The 23,421-nt window shown below is 34.3% G+C and overlaps 1 protein-coding gene across 3 annotated transcripts in view; it reads left to right on the forward strand.

Moving 5' to 3' along the window:
* Positions 1-21,689, forward strand: part of PTEN (phosphatase and tensin homolog) — a 108,306-nt gene extending 86,617 nt beyond the window's left edge. For all 3 annotated transcript variants that reach the window (NM_001304717.5, NM_000314.8, NM_001304718.2), the window contains 4 exon segments: positions 1,877-2,018; positions 7,612-7,778; positions 10,653-10,877; positions 15,046-21,689. In NM_001304717.5, the coding sequence (NP_001291646.4) occupies positions 1,877-2,018; positions 7,612-7,778; positions 10,653-10,877; positions 15,046-15,231 (720 nt within the window). In that variant the 3' untranslated portion in view covers positions 15,232-21,689.

The raw sequence follows: 23,421 nt of genomic DNA on the forward strand, positions 1-23,421 counted from the left end.
AGAGCGAAACTCCGTCTCAAAAAAAAAAAAAAAAAAAAGAAAAAAGAAAATTATATAGAAATAAAATTCCAGCTATTCCAAAACTGCACCTTGAATACAGGTACAGAATTGCTAAAACCGTGTACCATTTTGTAGTTTTAGCATGCTTTTGTGTAACTGCATCTGGTGTTTGATCCTCATGAGAGCCCTGTTAAGGAAGGGTACATATTATTGTCCTCATTTTCCTTCGAAAACACATCAGAGTTTGTATTTTGACTGTCAGCATTCAAATACAAGTCTTTTATTTATAAAATTTTGGTCTTTATACTGTGGCTAAAAATCTTAAATCACTTGTCATGATTTGAAATGGTTTATACCGATTTTTTTTGACATTTATACACACATACACATATTTTTAAATTGTCTATAATAAAATCATGCTCATCTTTGAAAAAATATTAGGAGTACTACAGTGGATACCTACATACTTGCTATTCAGCATACCTGGTTTTTTGTTTGTTTTTTGAGACAGTCTTCTCTGTGGTCCAGGTTGGAGTGCAGTGGCACGATCTCAGCTCATTGCAACCTCCGTCTCCCAGGCTCAAGTGATTGTCCTGCCTCAGCCTCCCAAGTAGCTGGGACTGCAGGTACACATCACCACGCCCAGCTAATTTTTTGTATTTTTGGTAGAGACGGGGTTTCACCATGTTGGCCAGGCTGGTCTCCAACTCCTGACCTCAAGTGATCAGCCCACCTCGGCCTCCCAGAGTGCTGGGATTACAGGTTGTGAGCCACTGCACCTGGCCTGTTTTTAAATTCACATAAATATGTTTTATATTTTTCATTAGGGAGAAGAAGGTTGTGTCTACAATTTTTAAGACATTGGGGAGATTTAGATGCCAGTAGTAACTTAAAAGAGAAATAATTGCAAATTCTTTTTCCTCTTGAGTATACTTTCATTTAAGGTACAGTGTTCTGTAAGTTACTTTTACCGTTAAACTTCTTAATGTTGCTTATTGTTTGTCTTACATTTTTAGGTTGGATTTTTCTTAAGTCACATGTCTAATAAAAAAAACCCTTAAATACCTCATTTATTCGTCTTCGTTAGTGAATGCATTGTTGTACATATTAGATTTTTCTCTTTAGATAACTCAGCTTCCCCTATTAAGTGCCACATGTATTACAAAATTTTATTTATGTTTTATTGTTTAATAAACTCTTGAGAACTAGATACATTTTAATCATTTGTAATACTTACATTTTCTAAAACACTTCATTTTTCCCTGGTTTCTTCAACAAAGAGATGCATGTAGTACAAGGATAGCTTTACCTGTGTTAGAAGATTGTTTCACACATTTACATCAACTGCATAGTCCTGTTTTTGTTGGGCCCTAATGCCAGCATCACTTTTTGCTACTGCTGTTTCTGCCTTAAAGGCAATATGCCTCTGTCTAGTTTGCTGATTCTGATACTCTTTCCCCTGGAAAGTAGGTAATCAAGTTTGTGAGGAGCTGTGTGTTTAAGGAGTCCATAAATCCTTGTGGGGAGCCCTAGGTGTATAGAGCATAGCTGTAGGGCAGAGGCCTTTGACACTTATTCTGGATATGCAGTGGCCTTTGCCTATGGGGTTCATGGGTCAGAGCGCTGTTGTGACCTTTGAATAAATGGGTTGTTATGATAATTGTTTTAAGGGAGGAGAGTTATTCTGATATCCTTTGTATTGATATTGCTCTTATTTATTATTGAGCTGGATTTAAGTATTAATCATTTAAGGTCAAATTTCTAATGTATATATGTTCTTAAATGGCTACGACCCAGTTACCATAGCAATTTAGTGAAATAACTATAATGGAACATTTTTTTTCAATTTGGCTTCTCTTTTTTTTCTGTCCACCAGGGAGTAACTATTCCCAGTCAGAGGCGCTATGTGTATTATTATAGCTACCTGTTAAAGAATCATCTGGATTATAGACCAGTGGCACTGTTGTTTCACAAGATGATGTTTGAAACTATTCCAATGTTCAGTGGCGGAACTTGCAGTAAGTGCTTGAAATTCTCATCCTTCCATGTATTGGAACAGTTTTCTTAACCATATCTAGAAGTTTACATAAAAATTTAGAAAGAAATTTACCACATTTGAAATTTATGCAGGAGACTATATTTCTGAAGCATTTGAACAAATTAATTAGCTTTGTTGTTCAACTCATTGGGCTAAAGAAGCCAAAAGCAATGGGTTTTAATGTAGTCGAAGCCAAATTATATTTATGAAAGAAATATTCTGTGTTATAACCACCAAATACAGCCCAATTCTGACTAGATGATGGAAGAACCTGTCCCATCAGAGGTCCAGCATGAGGTCCAGCAGAGGTCCACCAGAGGAGTTCAGCAATTTGCTGCTCTTAGGGCAGGGATCAATTCCTTAATATCTTAGGAAGACTAGGTATTGACAGTAATGGTGACAAAGCAATGAAAAGGAAAGGAAGAAGTGATAAGACGTGGCAGCAAGCTGAAGTATGATGAGTAAAGAATAGGAATCAAAGTATGTGGAGTGTTAGAGAAAACCTGGATTTAGATCCAGATTCTAGTCCTATCTCTGTCATTAATCTATTGCGTAACCCTGAGCATATCATCTACCTCTCTTTGAGTTTGCTTGTCAATAAAATGAAGAGACTTTGAAATCTGAGACTTCCTGGATAAGTACTAAATACAGATTATGTCACTGATGTCTGCCTCTATTTATTTCTCCCTTTTACCCTAATCTCTATAAGTCTACCTCAGTCATCCTGATCCTATTCTACTTCTCTGATGTTGTTGTCAGATAGGTGTGATCATCCTCATCAGATCTTTTCTGTATTCTTAGAGACAGATAACTTTATCAAAGACCACAGATTTATTAGTATAGCATGTTAAAGTCTTCTAAAGAGTCTCATTGATGCTCTTTTCATCTCAGTACAATTTTTAAAACTGCTGAATGCAAGGTACTGAGCTGTTGGAAGTGACTGACAGATGAATGTAACAGATTCATAGAGAAGGAAAAAGGAAGAAAAACTCATGCTCTTCCTATAGTATTGATATCAGTGTAAGAGCCAAGAGAAAGGTATAAAGTATCATGCAGATATTAAGGGAAAGAAAACATTCACTTTAGTAATCTTTCCTCATTTTCTAGTTTCCTCTTATGTACTATGATTTAATACTGTAGTAAAGTTTTAATAAAATATGAGCTATATGTAATTAAGTGGGAGGTTGTGGGGCTAGGCACGAGGCTCACACGTGTAACCCCAGCACTTTGGGAGGCTGAGGCAGGCGGATCGCTTGATCTCAGGAGTTCGAGACCAGCCTGGACAACAAGGTGAAACCCCATCTCTACTAAAAACACAAAAATTAGCTGGGCATAGTGGCACACACCTGTAGTCCCAGCTTCTTGGGAGGCTGAGGCAGGAGAATCGCTTGAATCCAGGAGGCAGAGGTTGCAGTTAGCCGAGATCATGCCACTGCACTGCAGCCTGGACATCGGAGCAAGACTTTGTCTTAGAAATAAATAAATAAATATAAAATAAAATAAATGGGAAGTTGTGTATATAAATTATAAATGCTACATTCAGAAAAGCTTTTGAAGGTTGTCAGACAGTTTCTTAAAGGAAGTTCACCAGTTCTTTATTGAACATTGAAGAAAACATACAGTTTAGACTGGCATTAAAACTGAAAGAAGTGGCCAGACGCAGTGGTAGACGCAGTGGTTCACGCCTGTAATCCCAGCACTTTGGGAGGTCAAGGTGGATGGATCACCTGAGGTCAGGAGTTTGAGATCAGGCTGGCCGACATGGTGAAACCCTGTCTCTACTAAAAATACAAAAATTAGCCAGGCATGGTGATGCGTGCCTGTAGTCCCAGCTACTTGGGAGGCTGAGGCAGGAGAATTGCTTGAAGCCGAAGGTGGAGGTTGCAGTGAGCCGAGATTGCGTCATTGCACTCCAGCCAGGGCGGTAAGAGTGAGGCTCCGTCTTAAAAAAAAAATAAGTAAATAAATTAAAAACTACTGAAAGAAGTATTACAGGCAATGGGAAATAGCTTGAGTGGAAGTGCAGCAGAAGGAAAAAGCTGGACAAGAATGTAGTGTCAGAGAATAGGTATGGAACGTGTGAGTGACTGTTAGAGGATCTTGAATGGGGATAACAGACTTGATTTCATAAATACTGAGATGTCATGATAATACTTGAGGACTAAACCATGTTTTAAGGACAGTTGTATGCAAAGTTGTAATCGCAAGAGGAAAAAATAGTGGAAAAGAAACCAGTAATAAAACTTGCCTTAATGCAGGTATGCTAAGACAATCAAATGGGATTTCATTAATTTTTTATTTGCCATTTATAGCCAAAGATTTTGTAAAAGTTTTGAGCCCAGTCAGGTGAAATAGTCTCAGAAAGAAAGAAAAGTGAATCTGAGACTTGGAGACATTAATGTTGATATTTTGGTTTTAAACGTGTTTTAAATCCGGTAAAAGTGAGCTTCTCACATGACAATATTCAGTGGGTACTTGGGAGTATGGGTTCGAATCTAGGTAGGAGATATATCGATATTTTGGGCATCATCAGGAAAGGGAGAGTAGTTAAGCCTTTCATATAAATAATGGTGTGGCGTTTGGGCATGGGAAGTCTTGGAGGAAAGGAAGAAAAGGAGAGGGTGAGGACTGAGATAAGAATGGCAACTTGGGTTTAGGAAGAAGAAGAGGAATCAATGTAGAGAACAGATAGTGCTGAAAAATACAGCATCTTCTGTAGGGATTGGCAGCTTTTTCTTGATTTTTGTCTTAATATTTCTAAGAGATGGAAAAAGCTACTATATTCTAGACATTTAACAGGGTTAAAAATGTTACTAAAAGATGATCAATGTGGTTTTCATTCAAGACTATAACAATATGTATATATCCAAGGAAATTTAATTCTGACTTAAAAAAATTGTTTTGCTTGTATAGATTTAGGGACACAAGTGTAATTTTGTTACATGCATAGAGTGTATAGTTTCAAGTCAGGGCTTTTAGGTTGTCCATCATCTGAATAATATACATTGTACCCATTAAGTAATTTCTCATCTTCTACTCACCGTTTCAAGTCTCCACTATTTATCATTCCATTCTTTACATTCTGATTTTCATTTACTAGGTGTATTAGTCTGTTTTTGCATTGCTTTAAAGAAATACCTGAGACTGAGTATTAAACAGGTTTAACCTGTTTTCTTTATGAATTCTTCTTTAATTGGCTCATGGTTCTGCACGCTGTACAGAAAGCATAGCAGCATCTGCTTCTGGGGAGGCCTCAGGAAGCCTCCAATCATGGCTGAAGGCAAAAGGGGAGCATGGTGAGAATGGGAGCAAGAAAGAGAAGGAGTGGTGGGGAGAAGGTGCCACCCACTTTTAAATGCCAGCTCACTTACCACCAAGAGGATGGCCCAAGCCATTCATGTGGGATCTGCCCCCATGATTCAAGCTTCTTCCACCAGGCCCCACCTCTAGCACTGGGGATTACAATTCAACCTGAGATTTGGGAGGGAAAGATATCCAAACTATATCACTAGGTCTGGATCTTGTTATTTATTTTTTGGAACATAGTCATATATATCCAAGGATATATATTGTAGAAGTCCACAGAACCATACTAATATTGGACTTCTGCTTAGTTAGGTCTTATCTATCTGAAACATGATATTCATATTGCAGAGAAGATTATTTTCTTTAGTGATTGAGGAAATCTTTACTACTTATACATTTTTAATATAATACTATAATATTTGAAGATGCACATTTTAGATGTAGTTTAATTGAAACCTGGAAATACTATTAATTTGCTTTTTAAAGTCCTAAAATCAGGATTATCAGATTCTGAATTAATGGAGTTTAAATCAAAAAGATTACAAGGCAGTTTTTCAGTTTTATTCTGGTTAATTTTATCACAGCTTTGGAATCCTACTTTGTTTATTTGCTTCTTGAAGTTAGATTTCCCAGTGAAATTTCAGTATCACATAAAGTCTTATGAAATGGCTCATTGCACTTTGAACTTTGAGTCAAGGAAGTGAAATTTATTGATAGATTGTTGGTGTAATATTTATCCTGTTTGTGGTAGCTTTTTTGAATAATAAGTGTCTTAGAAGACCATGTTGGAGTAGCCTGCATGCTTTTATCAAACATATTAATTATGTGATGGCTGATACTGCTTTAGATATTACATAGAAATAGTAGTAGGTGTTTACTAAACTGGAAATTTCATTTAACTTGGTTTAGCTTTGCCTTGTTCTCAGTCACATTGATAAAAATGTAAGACTTTTGTTTATCTTTTAGAATAATGACACCTTTTGGTGCTGAGAATTTTTTGTTTTATATATATATATATATATACGTAATATAAATACAAAATATATTTAAATATGTATAATATTTCTCATACACTTTATGTAACTTTGTGTTCCTGTTTCTCTATTATCTTGGCATGTTTTCTTCAAATGGCACTTCTTAACCTCCTAAGGTTAATAAATTTCTTTGTAATGGACTTTTGTTTTCTAATTCCTCAGCGTATGACAAATGAATTATACTTTGTCAAATTATTTAGGTAACTTTCAGTTTTTGAAGTCCTGGGATCATAACATTCATCAGTCTTTAATTTCTGTCATTAAGGTCATTAGCTATAAATGAATTTATGAGTAGATTTAAAAAATAAAACATACAATCCTTCCCTTAACACACTTTCCCACCATTTGGTTCAACTGCTAGTGTAAAAGCATGATGAATTTTGAGAAGTTATATTTTACCAGTTACTTTATTTTTTACCAGTTATTTAAAACAGACATGAGCCAAAGCCAGAATACTTGTTAATGAAAATGAGGTGTTTTGGAGGAAAGGAAGGTTGTGCTGCAGTTTTTACTTGAAATCTGTTACATTTCTTTACAGAAATTTCAAATCTCTTGTTTCCTGTTATGATGGTGGCATTATATACCTTTAAAATGTGAGCTATAGGAAAATGAATGATGGTTAATTTTTTAATAAATATTTAGACTTGTGTTTTTGAAATTTTTTATAACATTGTTATAGGTTTTATCCTCTTTCTCTTGTGAACATGTAGTGATTTGTATTTTGTGATCTTTGCCGCATGCTAGAGACTTAAGAATACTATAGCAAATATCTGTCTTCTTTACATTTAAAAATTTTTCGTGACTACTCCCTGTTGATATCTGTCTTAAAAGTTACTTTTGATGTAGTTCACAAATGTACCAGATAATTATTTCATCGTTTTTAATGCTTAAAGTTTTTATTTGTATTAGGATTTTTAGTATGATTTTAATGTTAAAGTTTTGAAGTTACTCTGCCACTAGAAGTCTAATTTTGGGACTTACTATTCATGAAATAGGAATTGACTTTTATATAAGTAATAGGACCTTATTTTGAAGGTTCAAACTGGAGAAAATCTTACATTGTTTATATTTTTATTTCATTTATTTCAGTTGATTTGCTTGAGATCAAGATTGCAGATACAGAATCCATATTTCGTGTATATTGCTGATATTAATCATTAAAATCGTTTTTGACAGTTTGACAGTTAAAGGCATTTCCTGTGAAATAATACTGGTATGTATTTAACCATGCAGATCCTCAGTTTGTGGTCTGCCAGCTAAAGGTGAAGATATATTCCTCCAATTCAGGACCCACACGACGGGAAGACAAGTTCATGTACTTTGAGTTCCCTCAGCCGTTACCTGTGTGTGGTGATATCAAAGTAGAGTTCTTCCACAAACAGAACAAGATGCTAAAAAAGGTTTGTACTTTACTTTCATTGGGAGAAATATCCAAAATAAGGACAGATTAAAAGCTATATTTTATTTTATGACATGTAAGGAACTATAATTTGTTTTCTATTAGATCTGCAGGTGTTTTGCTTACTCTGGCATTGGTGAGACATTATAAGGGTAAATAATCCTGTTTGAAGGAAAAGGCCTTATGGCATTGTAACATGAGAGGAATTTTTCTTAACAAGGATGGTTAACTGAGAAGAAATTAGCATGGGACCAATATTTTAAAAATTTTGGTCTATAGGTAGAAATGAGATCTGTTCTGTGGTCTTATGTAGTGACACAAACCACTTTTTCTCCATTTTGGCTTATGTTTCTTTTTCTTTCCTTTTTTTTTTTTTTCCTTTTTGTTAGAGACAGGGTCTTGTTCTATTGCCCAGGCTGAGTAGCTAAGACTACAAGCATGTGCCACCACACCCAGCTAATTTTTTTTATTTTTATTTTTGTAGGGACAGGGTCTCACTATGTTGCCCAGGCTGGTCTCAAACTCCTGGGCACAAGCAGTCCTCACGCTTTGGCATCCCAAAGAGTTGGAATTACAGGTGTGCGCCATCATGCCTGGCCTTAACGTTTCTTAAGACTTGATTATTTTCTATTTAGCTTCTGTGGATTTACTGATTAATTTTTTAACTAGGAGAGAAATCAGTATGAAGAGGAAGTAATAAAGAATGAAAACATGGTATTTAAATGTGCAGGTTTAGAAAGTTAATGAAGTTTGAATTTGATTGATCTGTATTTAGAGAAGGCAACGTCTTATTATTTTAAAACCAACTATCCGCCCTGTGCGGTGGCTCACGCCTGTAATTCCAGCACTTTGGGAGGCTGAGGTGGGCAGATCAGCTGAGGTCAGGAGTTCGAGACCAGCCTGGCCAACATGGTTAAACCCCATCTCTACTAAAAATACAAAAAAATTAGCCGGGTGTGGTGGCAGGCGCCTGTTTTCCCAGCTACTCAGGAGGCTTGAGGCAGGATAATTGCTGAACCCGAGAGGCGGAGGTTGCAGTAAGCCAAGAATGCACCATTGTACTCCAGCCTGGGCAACAAGAGTGAAACTCCATCTCAAAAAAAAAGAAAAAAAAAACAACAACTATCTTCATTTAAAATATTAAATGTGAATATTTAAAGTGAGACTAAGGTGCAACATTTTTAGATAGTAATGAAGAAAAGGACTAACTTTGTAGTGTTGCTGCCTTGTTAAACATACTAGATAGCATATTGCCAATCTTTAAACATTCTCAATGATAGGATTTATTTACTTTTTCTGATTTTTAGCTTTTCTTTTGAAAGAAAATAAGAGGAAGTTTCATTTACTGCAAAATTTTAAATGCTGCTTTGATGTATCAGTAGAGATATAATTTTCCTTTATCCAGAATCCAAGTAGCTGGAAAAAAAAATCAAAATATGCTGAACTTTTTTTTTTTTAGCCAGAAACCCATTTCCTATCGTCTGTACAAATAAAAGTTAAATATATCTCAATAACTTAGAAAAATTATTTTTTGATAATCCAGGAAGTATTAGCAACTGTTTTAAAATTAAGATAACTAGTAAGTTTTATTTAGCTTTCAAAAATAGGCATCTACATCATCATCTCTGCATACCTTTAGGAATTTCCTAATTCTTATTTCCCTTCATCTGTACTTTAACACATGCAAAATTGAAGGTTAGATTAAATATTTATGATTTATTTGTTTATCCTTGACTACATAAATTTCCATTTTATTGATTTTCCCTGCCTTATTTAAGAATATGCTATGATTAAAACACAAAAAATTTTAGTATAACCCATATATATATAGAATTCACCTTTTTGTTATTTAAATATTATTGGCTTATTTTCTTCTAAGTAAAATACAATTACTGGCTAAAATAATTGAAATAAGCAAAAAAAAAATTTTAAAGACCTTGTATACAAGATTACTTTGCCAGGTACTGTTAAAAGATGCAATGACATTTAAGACGTAACATCCTTAAGGATCTTATTTTCTGGGGGATAAAAAACTTTAAGATAAATTAGAATAAAAGATTTAAATGGCATTTTAAGGTACCAGGTACCAGATAAGATGTCACAAGGCTGTATATCATTAATTGCCAAATGATTTATACAGGCCAGATTTCTTTGTTGGTCAATAGAGGTTTAAAGTGATGAACTTCTGTTGTGTTTTTTTATTAAGAAGGTATTATCTTATTAGTAAGAAGTGATTTTTTTTAAGAACAAGCATTTTATAACATCAAAAGAAATCAGTAGTACTCTTTCCTACCCCCTCATATTTATTCTGAAAGTATTCAAGCATTATATTGTCATGTAAGAAACTGGAGCTTCTCATGTTTGTATTGCTGTAGAAGTAAACATGTATTTGCCATGCGTCATCAGGGAAGTTGCACTCACCGTCCAAGAACTTTTGTTAAAGTAAATCTTGGAATAGGTAGCTCATTTGAAATGTAGAAAAAATTAAATCCATATCTGAATTTTGTTTATATGTATGTACACGTAAACTAAAAACGTATTTAAAGCTAGTATTAGATGAGAAAAGAGGTTTTTTTACTTAAAATTTTAAGGCAAAAGTAGTTTATCTTAGATCTTGTGAGATTGTATTTTTGGTTTAAAATTTGAGAATTTGAGTGAAGAAAAATCATGTGAATGAAAATGCAACAGATAACTCAGATTGCCTTATAATAGTCTTTGTGTTTACCTTTATTCAGAATATCAAATGATAGTTTATTTTGTTGACTTTTTGCAAATGTTTAACATAGGTGACAGATTTTCTTTTTTAAAAAAATAAAACATCATTAATTAAATATGTCATTTCATTTCTTTTTCTTTTCTTTTTTTTTTTTTTTAGGACAAAATGTTTCACTTTTGGGTAAATACATTCTTCATACCAGGACCAGAGGAAACCTCAGAAAAAGTAGAAAATGGAAGTCTATGTGATCAAGAAATCGATAGCATTTGCAGTATAGAGCGTGCAGATAATGACAAGGAATATCTAGTACTTACTTTAACAAAAAATGATCTTGACAAAGCAAATAAAGACAAAGCCAACCGATACTTTTCTCCAAATTTTAAGGTCAGTTAAATTAAACATTTTGTGGGGGTTGTTGACTTGTATGTATGTGATGTGTGTTTAATTCTAGGAGTACAGCTGATGAAGAACTTGCTTGACAAGTTTTTAACTTATGTATTATTTCGAAGCAGTGTTTACGTAGCAGTAACATGAAAGTTTCTAATAAAATACCCAATGTACACAGCGTCAAAAAAGCTGCATTTTTCCTTTTCCTAATTCTTCGTTGTTTGCTGAAATCTGGGGCAAAGGTGCGGGAGGGGGCTAAATGACTGGGATATGAAGTAGGAATGGGAGAGGAAAGAAATAGATGGGAACTCAGTCATTTGGGAATGATTCATATGGAATGTTTTTACTGCTTCCACTCCTGTCTGCCTTCCAATTTATTCTCAATCCCTCAGAGTGATCTTAAAAATAGACTTGATTGTGTCACTTCTGTTTACACTTTATAAGGACCTTGTGTTTTTTTTTTTACCATGACCTACAAGGCCCAGCATAATTTAGCACAGGGCTACCTCCTACATCAGCACTAGTCACCTTCTCTCCTTGTTTCTTGAGATTCAGTCATACTGGTCTTTCTTCAGTTCTTCAAAATGCTAAGCTTCTGCCTCTTCTAGTCTTTCCAGTTATTTTCCTTCTCCCTGTACCTTTTCATCTCAGCCTTTTCCCCTGACCTTCCATAGCTATCTTCATATTTCCAGCCTTAGCTTCAATCTCATATTCTCTGAAGTCCTTTGATTGTCCTCCCGTTATTCTTTTTTTAAAAATCCTATTTCCTTATATTGTATCTTAGAATTATTTGGTTTGTTTCATTTTTGCCTATGTGTGATATATGTATTTCTACATAGGTATATATATCTACTTATAGACAAGAATTCTTCAGATTAAAAAAATCTGATTTGTAAACATTCCCAAGTGGTTGTTTACCATTTTTTTCTTCCCCCTTCCTATTTCTTATTCTACCTGATTTTCCCCTGTTCATTCACCACACTCGTTTCTTTCTCTTTTTTACTCTCTCTTAATTTTTCATTCAATTTTTATAACATGTAATAAATCTAACTGTAGCGTCTGAGTATTAAGAATATTGCTAGTAATACTTCACCTGTAATCCCAGCACTTTGGGAGGCTAAGGCAGGCGGATCACTTGAGGCCCAGGAGTTTAAGACCAGCCGGCCAATATGGCGAAACCCTATCTGCACTACAAATACAAAAATTAGCTGGGCATGGTGTCGCACACCTGTAATCCCAGCTACTTGGGAGGCTGAGGCACAAGAATTGCTTGAGCCTGTGAGATGGAGGTTGCAGTGAGCCGAGATCACACCAGTGCACGTGCACTTCAGCCTGGGCAACAGAGCAAGACTCTGTCTTAAAAAAAAAAAAAAAAAAAAAATATATACACACACACACACACACACACACACACACACACACTATTACTACCAATATACATACATATATGTATGTATGTATGTATGTATATTGGTAGTAATAGTAATACTTGGGCCCCTGCACGTTTTAAGTGAAAATAGATCTAATATTAAATGTCTTTAGCCCTTAAATTTTTTTTAAGTGTTCAGAAGTTTCCCTTTAAAAAAATTTTTAATATATAATAATTGTACATATTTATGGGATACAGAGTGATATTTTCATGTATGCAGTGTGTGATGATCAAATCAGGATAATTAGCATATGGATCACCTCAAACATTTGTCATTTCTTTGTGTTAGGAACATTCAAAATTCTGTCTTCTAGCTATTTGAAAATATACAGTAAATTATTGTTGACTAGTTACAGTTCTATAGAACACTATAATTTATTCCTCCTGTGTGTAATTTTTTATCTTTTAACCAACATCTCCCTATCCTCCCCTCCCACTCCCTTTCCCGGCCTCTAATAACCACACTCTTATGAGCTCAACTTTTTTAGCTTCCATATATGAGTGAGAACATACGGTATTTATCTTTCTGTACCTGACTTATTTTACTTAACATCATGTCCTCCGGGCTAGACATTCTCTTTAGAATCCACAGGTTTCCTTTCTTTTCTCTAAATCTGCATTTTGCTCAGCCATTAACTTTTAAAATGTCTTTTTCCCTTTAGTTTTATTGTTTTCTATTTTAATATTGCAAGATGTTTTATATTTGTGATTACAAATAAAAACTCCATTATTAGTAAACAAATACAATGTCATATAGTAGTAAGTGCTATAAAAAATAGACAGGATAGAAAGTAATCTTGGTTTGTATGTTTTTTGTTTTTTAGCAAAGATGATTAGAGAAGGCCCAACCAAGCAGATAACATTTAAGCAGAGGCCTAAATCATATAAGTGAGTTATACAAATATCTGGGAAAAGAGTTAAGAGTACAGATGCAAAAGCCCTTAGACAAGAGAATGAGCTTGGTATATCTGAAGAGTGGATAAGTCATTTTGACTGAAACAGAGTGGACAAGAAAACCAGTCCAAGTGTAAAGACACTAGTGTGTGTTCAGCATAGGAAGGATGTAATCTGAATTTTGTGTTTAATATTCCCTGTGTTCATGCTTTCAAAATACAGATGAGTGAGGAAAGTAGGGAGAAGGGGTAATAAAGGAAGCTGAGAGATCAGTTAAGAGGTACTTGAATAGTTTAGTAAAGATGAGAGAAGATGTTTGCTTCTTGTTGCCCCTCACTGCTTAGAATAGTGGCAGTGAAGGGTAACAAGAAGCTGTCAGATTAACTTAAAGAGTTTACTGATGCAGTGGATGTTGGTTGTAAGAGAAGAATTGATAATGACTCTTGGATAATAGGGGAGGGAGGGGCTGTCAATATAATATAATGAAGAAGGGATTTGAAGTCATTTCTGATTTAAATCTCACATCCACTACCTACTTTTAATAGATATGTAGCCTTTAACAAGTTCCCTAACCTTTCTGGGCCTTAGCTACCTCCCCTTGGAAATGGAAATACCTAACATGTAAGGTTGTTTTGACAGTTATTTTCACTAGGCATGTAAAGGCACTTGACTCTCTGTTATAGACCACTGTATTATGTTAATGTCCCTCTCCTTCCTCCCTTTAGGTAAAGTTTTTAGGGCTAATAAATCCCAAATATCAATGTTGATCAGTAGTTTGTGTTTGTGTAGTGTTGTTTATATCAAAAACTACATTGAAGCCGGGCACAGTGGTTCACGCCTAAAATCGCAACACTTTGGGAGGCCAAGGTGGGCCTCCCACCTTGAACTAAGGAGTTTGAGACCAGCCTGGGCAACATGGTGAAATCCCATCTCTACAAAAAATATAAAAGCTAGCTGGGTGTGGTGGCATGCACCTGTAGTCCTAGCTACTTGGGAGGCTGAGGTTGATCCTGGGAGTTTGAGCCTGCAGTGAGCTGTGAAGATGCCACTGCACTCTAGTCTGGGTGACAGAGCAAGACCCTGTCTCAAAAACACACACACACACACACACACACACAAAGAAATACATTGATTTTTCACATAGGTAGTAAGAGAAACATTCTTTTTGAACTCAGCTGTTTGTGAATTGAATTTTGTAATTCAAATGCTATATTATGTAAACTATTGATGACTTTCAATCTGCATTTATTTTGTATAATTATTTAGTTAATATTTGCCACTTATATTCCTTAAAAAATAAAATTGAGGTTGGGCGTGGTGGCTCACACTTGTAATCCCAGCACTTTGGGAGGCTGAGGCAGGCAGATTGCCTGAGCTCAGGAGTTTGAGATCAGCCTGGGCAACATCATGAACCCCATTTCTACTAAAATACAAAAAATTATCTGGGCATGGTGGTGTACACCTGTAGCCCTAGCTGTTTGGGAGGCTAAGGCACGAGAATTGCTTGAACCCGGGAGGCAGAGGTTGCAGTGAGCCAAGATCATGCCACTGCACTCCAGCTTGGCAACAGAGCAAGACTCTTGTCTCCAGAAATAAAAATAAATAAATTGTATTAACATCCTGATAGTTTATCTGTTTAGTACCTAGCAAGAAAGAAAATGTTGAACATCTTAAGAAGAGGGTCATTTAAAAGGCCTCTTAAAGATCATGTTTGTTACAGTGCTTAAAAATTAATATGTTCATCTGCAAAATGGAATAAAAAATCTGTTAAAAATATATTTCACTAAATAGTTTAAGATGAGTCATATTTGTGGGTTTTCATTTTAAATTTTCTTTCTCTAGGTGAAGCTGTACTTCACAAAAACAGTAGAGGAGCCGTCAAATCCAGAGGCTAGCAGTTCAACTTCTGTAACACCAGATGTTAGTGACAATGAACCTGATCATTATAGATATTCTGACACCACTGACTCTGATCCAGAGAATGAACCTTTTGATGAAGATCAGCATACACAAATTACAAAAGTCTGAATTTTTTTTTATCAAGAGGGATAAAACACCATGAAAATAAACTTGAATAAACTGAAAATGGACCTTTTTTTTTTTAATGGCAATAGGACATTGTGTCAGATTACCAGTTATAGGAACAATTCTCTTTTCCTGACCAATCTTGTTTTACCCTATACATCCACAGGGTTTTGACACTTGTTGTCCAGTTGAAAAAAGGTTGTGTAGCTGTGTCATGTATATACCTTTTTGTGTCAAAAGGACATTTAAAATTCAATTAGGATTAATAAAGATGGCACTTTCCCGTTTTATTCCAGTTTTATAAAAAGTGGAGACAGACTGATGTGTATACGTAGGAATTTTTTCCTTTTGTGTTCTGTCACCAACTGAAGTGGCTAAAGAGCTTTGTGATATACTGGTTCACATCCTACCCCTTTGCACTTGTGGCAACAGATAAGTTTGCAGTTGGCTAAGAGAGGTTTCCGAAGGGTTTTGCTACATTCTAATGCATGTATTCGGGTTAGGGGAATGGAGGGAATGCTCAGAAAGGAAATAATTTTATGCTGGACTCTGGACCATATACCATCTCCAGCTATTTACACACACCTTTCTTTAGCATGCTACAGTTATTAATCTGGACATTCGAGGAATTGGCCGCTGTCACTGCTTGTTGTTTGCGCATTTTTTTTTAAAGCATATTGGTGCTAGAAAAGGCAGCTAAAGGAAGTGAATCTGTATTGGGGTACAGGAATGAACCTTCTGCAACATCTTAAGATCCACAAATGAAGGGATATAAAAATAATGTCATAGGTAAGAAACACAGCAACAATGACTTAACCATATAAATGTGGAGGCTATCAACAAAGAATGGGCTTGAAACATTATAAAAATTGACAATGATTTATTAAATATGTTTTCTCAATTGTAACGACTTCTCCATCTCCTGTGTAATCAAGGCCAGTGCTAAAATTCAGATGCTGTTAGTACCTACATCAGTCAACAACTTACACTTATTTTACTAGTTTTCAATCATAATACCTGCTGTGGATGCTTCATGTGCTGCCTGCAAGCTTCTTTTTTCTCATTAAATATAAAATATTTTGTAATGCTGCACAGAAATTTTCAATTTGAGATTCTACAGTAAGCGTTTTTTTTCTTTGAAGATTTATGATGCACTTATTCAATAGCTGTCAGCCGTTCCACCCTTTTGACCTTACACATTCTATTACAATGAATTTTGCAGTTTTGCACATTTTTTAAATGTCATTAACTGTTAGGGAATTTTACTTGAATACTGAATACATATAATGTTTATATTAAAAAGGACATTTGTGTTAAAAAGGAAATTAGAGTTGCAGTAAACTTTCAATGCTGCACACAAAAAAAAGACATTTGATTTTTCAGTAGAAATTGTCCTACATGTGCTTTATTGATTTGCTATTGAAAGAATAGGGTTTTTTTTTTTTTTTTTTTTTTTTTTTTTAAATGTGCAGTGTTGAATCATTTCTTCATAGTGCTCCCCCGAGTTGGGACTAGGGCTTCAATTTCACTTCTTAAAAAAAATCATCATATATTTGATATGCCCAGACTGCATACGATTTTAAGCGGAGTACAACTACTATTGTAAAGCTAATGTGAAGATATTATTAAAAAGGTTTTTTTTTCCAGAAATTTGGTGTCTTCAAATTATACCTTCACCTTGACATTTGAATATCCAGCCATTTTGTTTCTTAATGGTATAAAATTCCATTTTCAATAACTTATTGGTGCTGAAATTGTTCACTAGCTGTGGTCTGACCTAGTTAATTTACAAATACAGATTGAATAGGACCTACTAGAGCAGCATTTATAGAGTTTGATGGCAAATAGATTAGGCAGAACTTCATCTAAAATATTCTTAGTAAATAATGTTGACACGTTTTCCATACCTTGTCAGTTTCATTCAACAATTTTTAAATTTTTAACAAAGCTCTTAGGATTTACACATTTATATTTAAACATTGATATATAGAGTATTGATTGATTGCTCATAAGTTAAATTGGTAAAGTTAGAGACAACTATTCTAACACCTCACCATTGAAATTTATATGCCACCTTGTCTTTCATAAAAGCTGAAAATTGTTACCTAAAATGAAAATCAACTTCATGTTTTGAAGATAGTTATAAATATTGTTCTTTGTTACAATTTCGGGCACCGCATATTAAAACGTAACTTTATTGTTCCAATATGTAACATGGAGGGCCAGGTCATAAATAATGACATTATAATGGGCTTTTGCACTGTTATTATTTTTCCTTTGGAATGTGAAGGTCTGAATGAGGGTTTTGATTTTGAATGTTTCAATGTTTTTGAGAAGCCTTGCTTACATTTTATGGTGTAGTCATTGGAAATGGAAAAATGGCATTATATATATTATATATATAAATATATATTATACATACTCTCCTTACTTTATTTCAGTTACCATCCCCATAGAATTTGACAAGAATTGCTATGACTGAAAGGTTTTCGAGTCCTAATTAAAACTTTATTTATGGCAGTATTCATAATTAGCCTGAAATGCATTCTGTAGGTAATCTCTGAGTTTCTGGAATATTTTCTTAGACTTTTTGGATGTGCAGCAGCTTACATGTCTGAAGTTACTTGAAGGCATCACTTTTAAGAAAGCTTACAGTTGGGCCCTGTACCATCCCAAGTCCTTTGTAGCTCCTCTTGAACATGTTTGCCATACTTTTAAAAGGGTAGTTGAATAAATAGCATCACCATTCTTTGCTGTGGCACAGGTTATAAACTTAAGTGGAGTTTACCGGCAGCATCAAATGTTTCAGCTTTAAAAAATAAAAGTAGGGTACAAGTTTAATGTTTAGTTCTAGAAATTTTGTGCAATATGTTCATAACGATGGCTGTGGTTGCCACAAAGTGCCTCGTTTACCTTTAAATACTGTTAATGTGTCATGCATGCAGATGGAAGGGGTGGAACTGTGCACTAAAGTGGGGGCTTTAACTGTAGTATTTGGCAGAGTTGCCTTCTACCTGCCAGTTCAAAAGTTCAACCTGTTTTCATATAGAATATATATACTAAAAAATTTCAGTCTGTTAAACAGCCTTACTCTGATTCAGCCTCTTCAGATACTCTTGTGCTGTGCAGCAGTGGCTCTGTGTGTAAATGCTATGCACTGAGGATACACAAAAATACCAATATGATGTGTACAGGATAATGCCTCATCCCAATCAGATGTCCATTTGTTATTGTGTTTGTTAACAACCCTTTATCTCTTAGTGTTATAAACTCCACTTAAAACTGATTAAAGTCTCATTCTTGTCATTGTGTGGGTGTTTTATTAAATGAGAGTTTATAATTCAAATTGCTTAAGTCCATTGAAGTTTTAATTAATGGGCAGCCAAATGTGAATACAAAGTTTTCAGTTTTTTTTTTTCCTGCTGTCCTTCAAAGCCTACTGTTTAAAAAAAAAAAAAAAAAAAAACATGGCCTGAGAGTAGAGTATCTGTCTACTCATGTTTAATTAAGGAAAAACACTTATTTTTAGGGCTTTAGTCATCACTTCATAAATTGTATAAGCACATTAAATAGCGTTCTAGTCCTGAAAAAGTCCAAGATTCTTAGAAAATTGTGCATATTTTTATTATGACAGATGTTTGAAGATAATTCCCCAGAATGGATTTGATACTTTAGATTTCAATTTTGTGGCTTTTGTCTATTATTCTGTACTCTGCCATCAGCATATGGAAAGCTTCATTTACTCATCATGACTTGTGCCATATAAAAATTGATATTTCGGAATAGTCTAAAGGACTTTTTGTACTTGAATTTAATCATGTTGTTTCTAATATTCTTAAAAGCTTGAAGACTAAAGCATATCCTTTCAACAAAGCATAGTAAGGTAATAAGAAAGTGTAGTTTGTACAAGTGTTAAAAAAATAAAGTAGACAATGTTACAGTGGGACTTATTATTTCAAGTTTACATTTTCTCCATGTAATTTTTTAAAAAGTAAATGAAAAAATGTGCAATAATGTAAAATATGAAGTGTATGTGTACACACATTTTATTTTTCGGTATCTTGGGTATACGTATGGTTGAAAACTATACTGGAGTCTAAAAGTATTCTAATTTATAAGAAGACATTTTGGTGATGTTTGAAAAATAGAAATGTGCTAGTTTTGTTTTTATATCATGTCCTTTGTACGTTGTAATATGAGCTGGCTTGGTTCAGTAAATGCCATCACCATTTCCATTGAGAATTTAAAACTCACCAGTGTTTAATATGCAGGCTTCCAAAGGCTTATGAAAAAAATCAAGACCCTTAAATCTAGTTAATTTGCTGCTAACATGAAACTCTTTGGTTCTTTTATTTTTGCCAGATAATTAGACACACATCTAAAGCTTAGTCTTAAATGGCTTAAGTGTAGCTATTGATTAGTGCTGTTGCTAGTTCAGAAAGAAATGTTTGTGAATGGAAACAAGAATATTCAGTCCAAACTGTTGTAAGGACAGTACCTGAAAACCAGGAAACAGGATAATGGAAAAAGTCTTTTAAAGATGAAATGTTGGAGCCAACTTTCTTATAGAATTAATTGTATGTGGCTATAGAAAGCCTAATGATTGTTGCTTATTTTTGAGAGCATATTATTCTTTTATGACCATAATCTTGCTGTTTTTCCATCTTCCAAAAGATCTTCCTTCTAATATGTATATCAGAATGTGGGTAGCCAGTCAGACAAATTCATATTGGTTGGTAGCTTTAAAAAGTTTGTAATGTGAAGACAGGAAAGGACAAAATAGTTTGCTTTGGTGGTAGTACTCTGGTTGTTAAGCTAGGTATTTTGAGACTACTTCCCCATCACAACAACAATAAAATAATCACTCATAATCCTATCACCTGGAGACATAGCCATCGTTAATATGTTAGTGACTATACAATCATGTTTTCTTCTGTATATCCATGTATATTCTTTAAAAATGAAATTTATACTGTACCTGATCTCAAAGCTTTTTAGCTTAGTATATCTGTCATGAATTTGTAGGATGTTCCATTGCATCAGAAAACGGACAGTGATTTGATTACTTTCTAATGCCACAGATGCAGATTACATGTAGTTATTGAGAATCCTTTCGAATTCAGTGGCTTAATCATGAATGTCTAAATATTGTTGACATTAGGATGATACATGTAAATTAAAGTTACATTTGTTTAGCATAGACAAGCTTAACATTGTAGATGTTTCTCTTCAAAAATCATCTTAAACATTTGCATTTGGAATTGTGTTAAATAGAATGTGTGAAACACTGTATTAGTAAACTTCATCACCTTTCTACTTCCTTATAGTTTGAACTTTTCAGTTTTTGTAGTTCCCAAACAGTTGCTCAATTTAGAGCAAATTAATTTAACACCTGCCAAAAAAAGGCTGCTGTTGGCTTATCAGTTGTCTTTAAATTCAAATGCTCATGTGACTTTTATCACATCAAAAAATATTTCATTAATGATTCACCTTTAGCTCTGAAAATTACCGCGTTTAGTAATTATAGTGGGCTTATAAAAACATGCAACTCTTTTTGATAGTTATTTGAGAATTTTGGTGAAAAATATTTAGCTGAGGGCAGTATAGAACTTATAAACCAATATATTGATATTTTTAAAACATTTTTACATATAAGTAAACTGCCATCTTTGAGCATAACTACATTTAAAAATAAAGCTGCATATTTTTAAATCAAGTGTTTAACAAGAATTTATATTTTTTATTTTTTAAAATTAAAAATAATTTATATTTCCTCTGTTGCATGAGGATTCTCATCTGTGCTTATAATGGTTAGAGATTTTATTTGTGTGGAATGAAGTGAGGCTTGTAGTCATGGTTCTAGTGTTTCAGTTTGCCAAGTCTGTTTACTGCAGTGAAATTCATCAAATGTTTCAGTGTGGTTTTCTGTAGCCTATCATTTACTGGCTATTTTTTTATGTACACCTTTAGGATTTTCTGCCTACTCTATCCAGTTGTCCAAATGATATCCTACATTTTACAAATGCCCTTTCAGTTTCTATTTTCTTTTTCCATTAAATTGCCCTCATGTCCTAATGTGCAGTTTGTAAGTGTGTGTGTGTGTGTCTGTGTGTGTGTGAATTTGATTTTCAAGAGTGCTAGACTTCCAATTTGAGAGATTAAATAATTTAATTCAGGCAAACATTTTTCATTGGAATTTCACAGTTCATTGTAATGAAAATGTTAATCCTGGATGACCTTTGACATACAGTAATGAATCTTGGATATTAATGAATTTGTTAGTAGCATCTTGATGTGTGTTTTAATGAGTTATTTTCAAAGTTGTGCATTAAACCAAAGTTGGCATACTGGAAGTGTTTATATCAAGTTCCATTTGGCTACTGATGGACAAAAAATAGAAATGCCTTCCTATGGAGAGTATTTTTCCTTTAAAAAATTAAAAAGGTTAATTATTTTGACTATTCGGTTTTAAACTTTTTATTCAACAAATACCAAGTCCCTGCTGTATATATGGGTTTGGAATACATTAGTGATCAAAACACACCCTCTATCCCTGCCCTTGAAGAGTTTACACTCCAGTAGAGGAAACAGAATTTACATTAACAATTATAAATTGTGATACATGCTGTGGAAAGTGAGGTGCATGTGATAATGGTTATCAAACATTATGCTCCCCAAAATTTCCATCACCTTGCAGTTGAATGAGGCCTATGTAACTAGTTTATTCTAATGTAATACAGAAAGTAGTGTGACACTCCACTTTCTGTAAAGGCAATGAAAAAAATTTACCATCCAGTTTCTCTCTTCCCCTACTGCTGTGATTAAGGATTTTGCATGTTCTAGATGGTGCAGCTTTGTCAGCCTGGGTCTTGAGTGATACTGGAGCAGAACTCCCTCAAATTGTTCCTTCTGCCACGCTAAACTTGTTAGATATTAGCATAAATAAGAAATAAACCATTTAGACTGATACTTTGGGACAATTTTTTATCACAGTGTAAGTTATATCCTGACTAAAACAGTGCTTTGGAAAGATCAGGGAAGGGTTTCTTGAGCTACAAAAGGGAGTTAAGAATGAAGCAAAATGAAATATGGCATCTTTAAATGACATGATGCAATAAACTCTAAATTGCAAGTTATTCAATAGTTACTGAGCACCAGATATGTGTCAGACACTGTTCTAGATGCTTGGGATACAAGTGGGTGAACAGCAGGACCTTGCCTTCATGGAGCTTACATTCTAGCAAGGGAAAATAGTCAACATACTATATGTAAGGTAATGCGTGCTATAGCAGAAATGAAAGGTAAGGGAGCTCAGGATTGCTGGGTGGAGAGATTTCAGTGTTGAATGGTGTAGTCCAGAACAGGCCTCACTGGGAAGGTAAGATTTGAAGACTGCTGACTAACAGTGGCATTGGGATTTTCCTTCATTCTTTCAACCAGCGAGATGCACTCAGAACCCTCTATACAATTTTATTCTCACTTTATACAACTCTGTACATTAGTTCTGAGTTTTTAAGATGATTGTTGGCATATCTAGGGAGAATTTTTAGGAATACCACCCAAAATAGTCGCAATGTTCTAAAACCATTTTGTTTTCTAAATTGGTTTGGCAAACTCTATACAAACAGTCTGTTCCTTTTCATTCTCCAAGTTGAGTTTTTAAATTTAAATTATACTCTTTGTGCATTTTGACAATACTTACCTCTTTTCAGAAGACATTAAAGTTCTGTTATGGCCTTAAAACATTTCTGTAAAGCTGAAAGGAAATATCATTTATGATTTATTGATGGGAAACAGTTACAAATTTTGAGTTACTTGACAAACAGAAGGGATGAAATTTATGGCCTAGTGTTGTGTTTTCATTCTTAACCCATAAGCAAAAATCTCTGGAAAAGTACCAATATCTAGTAAAAGAAATATTTTTTCACAAAAAGTATTTTCTATTTTCCCCTCACCTCTTACCTCGTCTCACCTCAAAGTTCAAGAAGCTTAACTTTGTGATCAAAGGAAAATAGTATAATTGAATATTTGATACTATAGAAATTTGCAACTGTATAAGGGCATTATTAACCTTTTGCTAGTGATCAGTTTCCTATCAGGGCAGCCACATAAAATTAGGCATGACACTTTAAAAGAAAATGTTGACTCTTAACTTTTCCTCCTCTAATGCTTAATTTTAAAATAGATTTAAGC

Source organism: Homo sapiens, chromosome 10 (assembly GCF_000001405.40).
Source record: "Homo sapiens chromosome 10, GRCh38.p14 Primary Assembly".
Taxonomy (NCBI): domain Eukaryota; kingdom Metazoa; phylum Chordata; class Mammalia; order Primates; family Hominidae; genus Homo; species Homo sapiens.